The sequence below is a fragment of the Homo sapiens genome, chromosome X (genome assembly GCF_000001405.40).
Source record: "Homo sapiens chromosome X, GRCh38.p14 Primary Assembly".
NCBI classification, from domain to species: domain Eukaryota; kingdom Metazoa; phylum Chordata; class Mammalia; order Primates; family Hominidae; genus Homo; species Homo sapiens.
Window position 1 is genome coordinate 34,592,542 of NC_000023.11, and position 12,762 is coordinate 34,605,303.

General features: G+C 35.9%; 1 annotated feature.

Annotated features, from left to right (window-relative positions):
* Positions 1,133-1,634: an enhancer, noted in NCBI's record as "NANOG hESC enhancer chrX:34611791-34612292 (GRCh37/hg19 assembly coordinates)". NCBI's record gives its function as "activates a minimal SCP1, AML or CMV promoter by ChIP-STARR-seq in primed H9 embryonic stem cells {active_cell/tissue: H9 hESC(primed)}" and the evidence as "EXISTENCE:reporter gene assay evidence [ECO:0000049][PMID:30033119]".

Here is a 12,762-nt window from a genome sequence, read left to right on the forward strand (position 1 = left end):
CACTGCATCTAGCTGGAAAAGAGATTTATAGCCTTTGGCTCCAGAACCTTAGAGCAACTATCCCAATCAATATTATAGTCTAAAATTTTGACCTAAAGCTATTTTTTCAAGGTTTTGTACCCAGCCCACAGCTTCTCTTTAATTAAGTTGGGCTCTCTTACACATTTTTTAAAAAAATCAAAGGACCAATTAATGGGTCTTTACCACCAATATATATAACTAGTTCCTACCTCTCCAAAGCTTCAACTCTCTCTCTCATACAAACATGCACACATACACAGTTGCACTATTAATTAAACTACATTCACAAAATGTATTAATGTGCCTTTCTCCCAAGCTAAACTGTGTACTTCTAATAGATAGAAAATGAGTCTTATGCATGTATGTTCCCTGCCTTCTTGGGTCTAGCACATGACCTGGAACAAACTCGTTTCTTGACTACTCTCTTTGAATGATTAAATCCATAAACACATGTGTTAATTCCTTTGAAATCTGTGTTACTAAGGTAAAAGAGGTGTTCATTAATTATTTCCAAGCTCAAACATTTGTTTGAAGACTAAAGTAGGAGGAAGACAAGCATCAACAAATTCAGAGCTCCTTTAAACGGGACTTCAATGGCAAATAAACATGTTCTTTCTTTTGACAGTTATGAAGTGAAGAAAGGTCTTGACTGCTCAGTTTCATGTAGATCTGAATATACACATCTGGGTTGAATTTTCCCAAGTGACTATAGCCATGAAAGTGTTAAATCATATTCATTAATGAATTCATATAAAGGAGACTCATGCTCTTAATCATCCTGATATTAGGAAGATAAAATTTGGAATTATTATTGGAAATGGATGAAAGTTTCAATTGGGTATAATGGAAAGTAATGCAGAGCAGCAATGAGCTCTGAAATCACGCATTTACAGCCTATAACTTGAAATCTTGATATGTTTAAGACGTAACAACAGCTTGTAAAAACTCTTGAATACTTTCTGTACTTCTCTTTTTTAAGCCTATGAAAGTGTAAACTTGATAAGTTAGGGAATATGGATCTTTTAATAATGAACACACACTCATAGTGGGTATCCAAAAACATATTATTGATTGTTTTATATATAGATTGGAGAAATAAAAGTAATGAGAGTAGACATGCTAGAATATTTCATATATCCATGAGGTAGTAACTGGATAAGACCTATCCTCTTATCATGAGTTGCTGTAGCACTGGACACATTCTTTGAGACAGCTGTTTCCAGGCACTGAGCAAAGCTGAAAAAAAAAAAAAAAAAAAACCTTTGATACTTAAGAGAGGGAAACACATGGGATAAGTCATTTTTCAACCTGGTTTCTGTCTGGGGGTAGTTTTCAGGATGCGATACAGGGAGGTGAAGCGTAAGTAGAGAAACAAGGGAGAAACAATACAAATGGTGATTGACTTCTTACTGGAAACAATGGCTGCCAAAATCAGGAATATCTGCTCTTCAAAAGACACTATTACAACAATAAAAAGATCAATCAAAGACTAGAAAAAAATATTTGCAAATCACAAATTTGAGAAAGGCTTATGTCCAGAATATATGCTTCAAAATCAGTAATATGAAAAATAATTTTGAACAGGTACTTGTTAAAGTAAAAGTTATTCATGACACTCACTAAAGAATGGTAAGAAAGACTTTATTTAGGACTACTGCAATAGGTATATGGATTACTGCAATGGTGTTTTGCAGTAGAGGGAGAGGGACTGGGCTCAACTCTGAATACAAGGAAAAGTGGGAATTTATACACAGGGAGTAGAGAGGGGGATCAGTAAATGGAAATTATTAAGGGGAAGCATAACTGGTGAGGGGGATCAATAAATGGAAATTATTAAGGGGAAGCATAACTGGTAAGGGGGCGATTCTGACTAAACAGACCTAGCTATATTTTTGCTAAAGACAGGCCAGGGTAATCAGACCTGGGGGGCTGATGAGAGACAAAGATTTCGTTTGATATCAAGGATGTAGGATTCTGGCTAAATCAATTTAGCAGGATTCTTCCCCAAATTGGGCAATGAAAAGATGGACATGGAAGTCCAAAAGTTGAGCCTTAATTAGGAAGATAATGCAGAGAAGCCCGAATAAAGTTTGGTCAAGGAGAAACTCCTTGTCATACTTCACCAAAGAAGATGTACAGTTGGCAAATTAGTACATGAAAGTATGCTGAATATTATTGATCATTAGGGAAATCAAAACTAAAATGATGAAGTACCACTGCTCACCTATTAGAACGGCAAAATAATTTCTGATAAGTACTGGTAAGGCTATGAAACAACTAGAAATACATTGCTGGTATGAATGCTAAATAGTATAGCCACTTTGGAAAACAGTTTATTGGTTTCTTGTAAAGTTTAGTGTTCAAAACAATCAGAAACTTCACACAAGTGAAATAAAAATGTTAAGTTTACAAAAAAAATCTGCTCATGAATGTTCATAGTGGCTTTATTCACAATCACCAAAATTTGAAACAATAGAAATTTTTTTCCAATGTAGAATGAACAAAAATAATGTGGTATATTCACACAATAAAATACTACTCAGCAATAAAAATGAATGAATTGGCCGGGCGTGGTGGCTCATGCCTGTAATCCCAGCACTTTGAAAGGCCGAGGTGGGCGGATCACGAGGTCAGGAGATCGAGACCATCCTGGCTAACACGGAGAAAACCCGTCTCTAGTAAAAATACAAAAAAATTAGCCAGGCATAGTGGAGGGCGCCTGTAGTCCCAGCTACTTGGGAGGCTGAGGCAGGAACCCGAGAGGCGGAGCTTGCAGTGAGCCGAGATTGAGCCACTGTACTCTAGCCTGGGCGACAGCACGAGACTCTGTCTCAAAAAAAAAAAAAAAAGAATGAATTATTGATATATCCAATGACTTAATAGATCTCAAATTTGTTATGCTAAATGAAAGAAGCCAAATTTAAAGGATACATAGAGCATGATTTCATTTATATGCTCATGTGGAAAAGACAAAATTATATGGACAGAAAATAGGTCCATAGCTACTAGAGGCTGGGAGTGGGAGGACAGGTTGAATTGAAAGGGCCACATGGAAATATGTTTTGGGTGATGGCTGTGTTCTATATAGTGATTAAGGAAATATATGACTTTATCTGTTTCTGAAAATAGTAAAATTGTATACCTAAAGGGTAAATTTTACTGTTTGTAATTTGTACCTTAAAAAATGAAAAACACAGGATGTATAATAGCCCTTTTCAGATAAAAACTGAAGAAATTTGCTGACAGCAGATCTGGCCTCTGAAAGAAGATAAAGAAAATCATTCACTACAAAGAAAAATGATACTAGAGAGAAACAGAAATCAATAACAAAATGAAATGAGACAGAAACGGCAAATATGTGGGTAAATATAAATGCTTTTGTTTTGTTTTTTAGTTTCTATATTTTTAAAAAACTAATATTTGAAGCATAAATAAAATATAGTAATGTTTTACTTAGCAATAAGATACACTCTAATAAATGCTTTTGGTTTTTGTTATTTTTAACTTTTATCTTAGGTTCACAGGTTCATCTGTAGGTTTGCTATATAGGTAAACTCATGTCATGGGGGTTTGTTGTACAAATTATTTTGTCACCCAGGTACTAGTCCTAGTATATTTATTTTTATTTTATTTATTATAAATATTATATATTATTTCATATATATTATATATAATAAATATCATTATAAATAAAAATATTTATTTTTCCTGATCCTCTCCCTCCTCCCATCCCCTACCCTCAAGTAGGCCCCAGTGTCTGTTCTTCCCTTCTTTGTGTCCATGTGTTCTCATAATTTAGTTCCCACTTATTAGCGAGAACATGTGGTATTTGCTTTGTGTTTCTGTGTTAGTTTGGTAAAGATGATGGCCTCCAGCTCCATCCGTGTTGCCGAAAAGGACATAGTCCCATTCTTTTTTATGAATGCAAAATATTCCATGGTGCATATGTACCACATTTTCTTTATCCAATAATCCATTGGTGGACATTTAGGTTGATTCCATGTCTTTGCTATTGTGGATAGTGGTACACTGAACATATGCGTGCATGTGTCTTTATGATAGAAGGATTTGTATTCCTTTAGATATATACACAGTAATGGGATGGCTAAGTCGAATGGAAGTCTTTTTTTTTAGGCCGTTGAGGAAACTCCACACTGCTTTCCACAATGGTTGAACTAATTTACACTCCCACCAACAGTGTGAGAGCGTTCTCTTTTCTCTGCAACCTTGCCAGCATCTGTTATTTTTTTACATTTTAGTAATAGCAATTTTAACTGGTGTGAGATGGTATCTCATTGTGGTTTTGATTTGCATTTCTCCAAGATCAGGGATATTGAGCTTCTTTTCATGTGTTTGTTGGCTGCATTTATGTCTTCTTTTAAAAAGCGTCAGTGGGCACAGTGGCTCACGCCTGTAATCCCAGCACTTTGGGAAGCTGAGGCAGGCAGATCACGAGGTGAGGAGTTCGAGACTTGCCTGGCCATCATGGTGAAACCCCACCTCTACTAAAAATACAAAAATTAGCCAGGCATGGTGGCGGGCACCTGTAATCCCAGCTACGAGGGAGATTGAGGCAGGAGAATCGCTTGAAATCGGAAAGCAGAGGTTGCAGTGAGCCAAGATTGCACCACTGCACTCCAGCCTAGGCAACAAGAGAAAAACTCCATCTCAAAAATAATAATAATAATAATACATATAAAAATAAATAAAAAGTGTGTGTTTATGGACTTTCAATAAGATTTTTTTTCTTGTAAATTTGTTTAAGTTACTTAAAGATGCTGAATACTAGGCCTTTGCCAGATGCATAGTTTGCAAATATTTTCTCCCATTCTGTATATTGTCTGTTTGCTTGGTTGATACTTTCTTTTGCCATACAGAAGCTGTTTCACTTAATTAGATACCATTTGTCAACTTTTGCTTTTGTTGCAATTGCTTTTGGAGACTTTGTCATGAAATCTTTGCCAGTTTCTATGTCCAGAATGGTATTCCCTAGGTTGTCTTCCAGAGCTTTTATAGTTTTGGGTTTTACATTTAAGACTTTAATTCATCTTGAGGTGATTTTTTGTATATGGTGTAAAGAAGGAGTCCAGTTTCAATCTTCTGCATATGGCCAGCCAGTTATCGCAGCATCATTTATTGAATAGGGAATCTTTTCCCCATTGCTTTTTTTTTTGCTGGTTTGTTGAAGATCAGGTAGTTGCAGATGTGTGGCTTTACTTCTGGGTTACCTATTTTTTTCCATTGATGTATGCCTGTTTTTGTACCACTGCCGTGCTGTTTTGGTGACTTATAGCCCTGTAGTGTAGTTTGAAGTCAGGTGGCATGATGCCTTCAGATTGTTCTCTTTGCTTAGGATTGCATGGCTATTCAGATTCTGTTTCAGTTCCATATAATTTTTAAAATAGGTTTTCTAGTTCTGTGAAGAATGGCATTGATAGTTTGATAGTAATAGCATTAAATCTGTAAATTCCTTTGGGCAGTATGGCCATGTTAATGCTATTGATTCTTCTTATCCATGAGCATGGAATGTTTTTCCAATTATTTGTATTATCTCTGATTTATTTAAGCAGTGCTTTGTAGTTCTAAATGAGATCTTTCACCTTCCTGGTTAGCTGTATTCCTAGTTATTTTATTATTTTGATGGCAATTGTGATTGACACTACCTTCCTGATTTGGCTCTTGGTTTGGGTATTGTTGGAGTATAGAAATGCCAGTGATTTTTATATGCTGATTTTGTATCCTGAAACTTTGCTGAAGTTGTTTATCAGCTGAAGGAGATTTTGGGCCAAAACTATGGCATTTTCTAGAAATAGAATCATGTAATCTCTCAACTGGGATAATTTGAGTTCCTCTCTTTTTATATAGATGCCTTTTATTTCTTCCTCTTGCCTGATTGCTCTGGACAGGATTTCTAATACTATGTTGAATAGGTGTGATGAGAGAGGGCATCCTTGTTTTGTGCTGGTTATCAAGGAGAATGCTTCCAGCTTTTGCCGATTCAGCATAATGTTGGCTTGGTTTTGTCATAGATGGCTCTTAATATTTCAAGTTATGTTCCTTAATTGCCTAGCTTGTTAAGGGTTTTTAACATGAAGGATGTTGAATTTTATCAAAAACACTTTCTGCATCTATTGAGATAATCATGTGTTTTTTGTCTTTACTTCTGTTTAGTAATAAATCACATTTATTGATTTTTATATGTTGAACCAAACTTGCATCCCAGGGATAAGACCTACTTAATCGTGGTGGACTAGCTATTTGATGTGCTGCTGGATTCAGTTTTTAAGCATTTTTTTGAGGATTTTTGCATCAATGTTCATCAAGGATATTGGTCTGAAGTTTTCCTTTTTTGTTGTGTCTCTGCAAGGTTTTGGTATCAGGATGATGCTGGCCTCATAAAATGAGTTGGGCAGGAGTCCCTCCTCCTCAATTTTTGGGAATAGTTTCAATAGGAATGGTACTACCTCATCTTTGTACATCTAGTAGAATTTGGCTGTGAATCCATCTGGTAAAGGGCTTTTTTTGGTTGGTAGGCTACTTACTATTGTTTCAATTTTGGAATTTGTTTTTCATCTGTTCAGGGATTCAATTTCTTCCTGATTCAGTCTTTGTATATTGTATGATTTCAGGAATTTATCAATTTCTTTTAGATTTTCTAGTTTATGTGCATAAAGGTGTTCATAATAGTCTCTCATGGTTATTTATAGTTCTGTGGAGTCAGTGGTAATATCCACTTTGTCATTTCTAATTGTGATTATTTAGATCTTCTATTTTTTCTTCTTTATTAGTCCAGCTAATAGTCTATCTATCTTATTAGTTTTTCAAAACACCAGCTCCTGGCTTTGGTAATTGTTTGAATGGCTTCTCATTTCTCAGTCTTCTTCTGTTCAGCTCTGATTTTGATTGCTTCTTGTCTTCTGTTAGGTATGGGGTTGCTTTTCTTTTGCTTCTTTTGTTCTTTTAGTTGTGATGTTCGGTTGTTAATTTGAGATGTTTCTCACTTTTTGATATGGACATTTCCCTCTTAACACTGCTTTAGCTGTGTCCCAGAGATTCTCCTATGTTATATCGTTGTTCTCAATAGTTTCAAAAAAATTCTTGATTTCTGCCTTAGTTTCGTTATTTACCCCCAAAGTCATTCAGGAGCAGGTCATTTAATTTCCATATAATTGTGTGATTTTGAGTGATTTTCTTAGTCTTGAATTCCGTTTTTATTGCACTGTTGTCCCAGAGAGTGGTTGCTATGATTTTTCTTTTGCATTTGCTGAGGATTGTTTTATGTCTGATTGCGTGGTTGATTTTAGAGTATGTGCCATGTAGCAATGAAAAGAATGTATATTCTGTTGTTTTTGGCTGGAGAGTTCCATAGATGATGTCTGTCAGATACATTTGGCCCAGTGTTGAGTTCACTTCCTGAATACCTTGGTTAATTTTCTGCCTCAATGATCTGTCTAATGCTGTCAGTGGAGGGTTGAAGTCTCCCAATGTTATTGTGTGGAAGTCTAAGTCTCTTTGAAGGTCTCTAAGTACTTGCTTTATGAATCTGGGTGCTCCTGTGTTGAGTGAATATATATTTAGAATAGTTAGGTCTTCTTGTGGCATTGAACCTTTTACCATTATGTAATGCCCTACTTTGTCTTCTTTGATCTTTTTTGGTTTAAAGTCTGCTTTGTCTGAAATTAGGAACGCAACTCCTACCTTTTTTCTGTTTTCCATTTTCTTGGTAGAATTTTCTTCATCTCTTTATTTTGAGCCTATGGGTGTCATTGCATGTGAGATGAGTCTCTTGAAGACAGCATTCCTGTGGGTCTTGCTTGTTTATCCACTTTGCTACTCTGTGCTTTTTAAATGGGAGCATTTAGCCCATTTACATTCAAGGTAACTATTGATATTTGTGCATTTGATCATGTCATCATGTTGTTAGCTGTTTATTATTCTGACTTTTTTGTATGATTGCTTCATAGCGTCACTGGTCTATGTACTTAAGTGTGTTTTTGTAGTGGCTGGTAATAGTCTTTCCTTTTCATATTTACTGCTTTTTTCAGGAGCTCTTTTAAGGCATGTCTGGTAGTCATGAATTCCCCCAACATTTGCATGTCTGAAAAGGATCTTATTTCTCCTTCCCTTACGAAGCTAAGTTTGGCTGGATATGAAATTTCTGATTGGAATCTTTTCTTTAAGAATGTTGACTATAGGCCCCCAATCTCTTCTGACTTGTATGGTTTCTGCTGAGAGGTCCACTGTTAGTCTCATGGGCTCCCCTTTGAAGGAGACCTGTCCTTTCTCTCTAGCTTCCTTTAACATTTTTTTCTTTCATTTTGACCTTGAAGTGTCTGATGATTATGTGTCTTGGGGCGAGATTCTTGTGAAGTGTTTTGCAGGGGTTTTCTGCATTTCCTCAATTTGAGTGTTGGCCTCTCTAGCTAGGTTGGAGAAAATCTCATGGATGATCTCCTTAAATATGTTTTCCAAGTTTCTTCCATTTGTCCTATCTCTTTCAAGGATGCCAATAAGTCATAAATTTGGTCTCTTTACATAATTCCATATCTCTCATATATATTCTTCATTCGTTTTCATTCTTTTTTCTCTATTCTTGTCTAATGACTTTATTTCAGAAATCCAGTCTTCAATCTCTGAGATTCTTTCCTCAGCTTGGTGTATTCTGCTGTTAATACTTGTGACTGCATTATGAAATTCATTTAGAGAGTTGTTCAGCACTATCAGGCCAGTTACATTGTTTTCTATATGGATATTTTGCCTGTCAGCTCCTGTATCATTTTATTTTCAGTCTTATCTTTCATAAATTGGGTTGCAATGTTCTCCAGTGCAGAAGCTATGATGCAGGAGGAACCTGGGGGCTGCACTGCAAACAGGTATGGTCAGATTGGGGCCCCAGCAGAGGCCAGCTGACAAAGGGGTGCTCAGGTCAGACTAGCCCTGTCTTGTGCAAGACTGTCCTGAAGAGTTCAGCTCTGATAGTTCCCCTAGGGAGAAATTATCCTATGGGTGCAAGTTGAGCTAGGGGATGTGTATCTCTGGCCATGCTCTTCTAGAGACACTCCTGTACTAAACTCTCTGGGCTGCAAACTGGCTTGAGTTCTGCCCCTACCACTACTCTAAGCAGCTTTCCCTGCTGACTCAAGTTGTGGTGGTCAAGGAGTCTCCTCCTGCCGGGATATCAGAGACCCATGGTGAGAACAGGTTCCTCCTTACCTATTCAACTAATTCCTTCCCTGAGAGTCCCTGGAGGCCAGGAATGAGTCCCAGTATGCCATAGCCCCATGCAGTGTTCCCAGCTTCCTCCCCACTCAGCCAAGCATCTGCTCTCCATCTGCTCTCAATGATTTTCCTATGAAGATCTACTAGGAGTGTGCCAGTGTTCCCAATGTCCCAGTCCCTAGGTGGGAGATGTTCCTCTTGGCTGCATCTAGTCCACCATCTTGGAAAGAGAACCTAATAAATGCTTTATTTGGCAATTTCATTGTTGTGTGAACATCACAGAGTATACTTACACAAACCTATATGGTATTGCCTACTGTATACCTATGATATATGGCATAGCTTAATGTTCCTAAGCTATAAACCTATGTAGCATATTACTGTACTAAATACTGTAGGCAATTGTAAGGCAATGGTAAGTATTTGTGTATCTAAACACAGCAAAGGTACAGTAACAATATGATAGTATAATCTTTTCAGACCACCATCATATATGCTGTTAGTCTCTGAAATTTCATTATGTGATGCATGATTGTATTTTACTGCAGGATTTTTGATGTATGTAGAAGTTAAATGCATGACAACATAGCACACAGTATAAGAAGGAAAGTAGAATTACACTTTTGTTAATGTTTTGAATTTTATACAAAGTTATATAATATTCATTCTAAGTAGATTGTGAAAAGTTAGGGATACAAATTATAATAAAAAATAATGAAATAAGGATTAATAGGTATGAATAAAAATCCAGCAGAGGATATAAAATAATAGACTAAAATATTAAAATAACACCAAGAAGCAGTAAATAAGGACAAAAGAAACGAATAATGTGTGGGACAAGTAGAAAACAAATAGCTTAGAAGGAAGACAAATAAATCATATCAAAAATGTGTCAATTCACTAGGAAGACATCACAATCCTCAAAGTGAATGAACCAAATAACAAAGTTACAAAATAGATGAAGTGAAAATTGATGGAACTAAAGTAAGAAACACAGAAAGCCATAGTCATTGTTGGTGAGTGCATTACCCTCCTCAGTAACTGATAAAACAAGTAGACAAAAGATCATAAGGCTGTAAAATCTTTCAAAAACAATGTCAACTTACTGAATCTGATTGACACTTATAGATCACCTCAATTTCTGAACACATTGTTTTTCATGTACACATGGGATTTCTGTCAAGAATGACAATTGCGGGGTAATAAAATATGCATTGATACACTTGAAAAGACTAAACACTTATGGCATATGTTCTTTGAACATAACAAAATAAAGTTGAAAATGAATAATAAGAAAATATTTAGAAAATACCCCAAACTTTGGAAATTAACCAACTTTTCTAAATAACTCATGGGCCAAAGAATGCATCACAAAGGAAGCTAAAAATACATCAAATTGAATTTGAATGAAAGCACAGCATGCCAAAATTTGTGGAATGCTACTAAAGCAATACTTACAGGAAAATGTATACCTTTGCCTGCATATTTTATAAAATAAATAAGATTTTAAATCAATGATTAGTTCACTTTTCCCATTTTAAAGGCTTTACACTACCTAATTTCTATCTTTCTATAATGCTACAGTAATTGAGATGTTGTGGTATTATAAATGGATATACAAATAGCTCAAAAAAACAGAATATAGCATCCAGAAAAAGACTCACATACAATCAATTTTTAAGAAAGAGCTTAATGCCATTCAAAGAAGAAGTTAATTTGAACAAATAGGGCTGGAGCAACTTAATAAATATAGGGAAAAACTAACCTTGTCCCCTTTTTACCCAGTGCACAAATATTAATTTGAGATGGATTAAGACCTTAATATAAAAGCTAAAACTGCAAAAGTTTTTAGAAGAAAACATTACAGAATATTTTGGGGAACACAGAGTCTGCACAGATTTCTTAGAGTGGTCACCACAAAAATATATTCAGCATAAAGAAAAATGATAAATTGGACTTCATCAAAATAAAAGTCTGCTTTTCAGTAATCATCCTTATGAAAATAAAAATGCTAACCACAGAGGGAGTGAAAATTTTAGCAACACACATGTCTGCAAAGAACTTGTGTCTAGAATATATAAATATCTCTCAAAAATGACTAATAAAAAATGGACAAAATACTTGGACAAATACTATATAAAAGAAGATTTGTAAATAGCCAATCAGTGTATGTAAAGATTCGCATGTTATTAGTTATCAGGGAAATGGAAACTAAAACTGCAGAAATACAAACACCTCAGAAAACTGGTTGACAATATTTTAAACAGTTAAACACATACCACTCATATTACTCTATGATTCCACTTCTTGGTATTTATTTAAACAAAAAACAAATTTGATCACACAGACTTGTATGTGAATGCTTATAGTAGTTTTATTCAAAATAGTCAAAAATGGGGAATAATTTTAAAGTCTTTCAGCAAGATGGTACATAAACTGAGATATATTCAAATAATGAAGTAATATTTAGCAATAAAAATGAACTACTGATACACAAACCAACATGTATGAATCTCATAGAAATAATGTTGACATTACTTGGAGTAGAATAATCCCACTCTTCTGTATTTGTCACGAGATGTGATCATTTGCAAATCTGCCTGTTTCTAGAGGAAATATACAAAACACTACATTTTTATGATTCTATTTAGATGAAGTTCTAGAACATGCAAATTTAACCGATGGCAATAGAAATCAGAGCAGTGATTTCTTATCAAGGGGAATATGATTAGAAAAAGGAAGCACCAGGGTCTCTTGACCTTATATTGAGTGGATATAAATTACATGTGTGTATATTATATGTGAATGTTTTTATTACATGTGTGTATATAAAATCTCATGAAATTGTGATACAAACAGGAGACAGGAAAATACTGGATAGAAGAGGGCAATTCCCTGGCAAAGGCCCCACCCTCGAGCCTGGAAACCCACAGCCATAAATGGGAATAGGCATTCCTGTTTTCACATACAAAGGTTGCCTTTTGGTCCACCACATCTCCCTATCCTGTACCAATATAAACCCCAAACCCCAGGCTCCACAAGCAGATGAGCAGATAAGCAAATGCACAGAAGAGCAGAAGAGAAGAGAAGAGAAGAGAAGAGAAAAGAAGAGAAGAGAAGAGAAGAGAAGAGAAGAGAAGAGAAGAGAAGAGAAGAGAAGAGAAGAGAAGAGAAGGAGAGAAGACAAGGAGTGTATGAACTTCGAGAGGAGTTCAGCTGAGGATGATCAGAGAGGAGATTGGCCGCTGAGCAGCCAAACTCCAGAGGAAGATCATGTTTTCACTCCATCCCACTTCCAGCTCCCCATCCTTCCTACTGAGAGCTACCTCCACCACTCAATAAAACCCCCGCATTCACCACCCTTCAAGTTTATCTGTGACCTGATTTTTTCTGAATGTCGGACAAGAACTTGGGATACAGAAAGCTGTCACACTGGCTCACTGCCCTTGCGAAAAGGCAGAGAGTCCACTGAAATGTTTAACACTTAAGCCGTCTGTGGGAAGCAAAGCTAAAAGAGCCCAA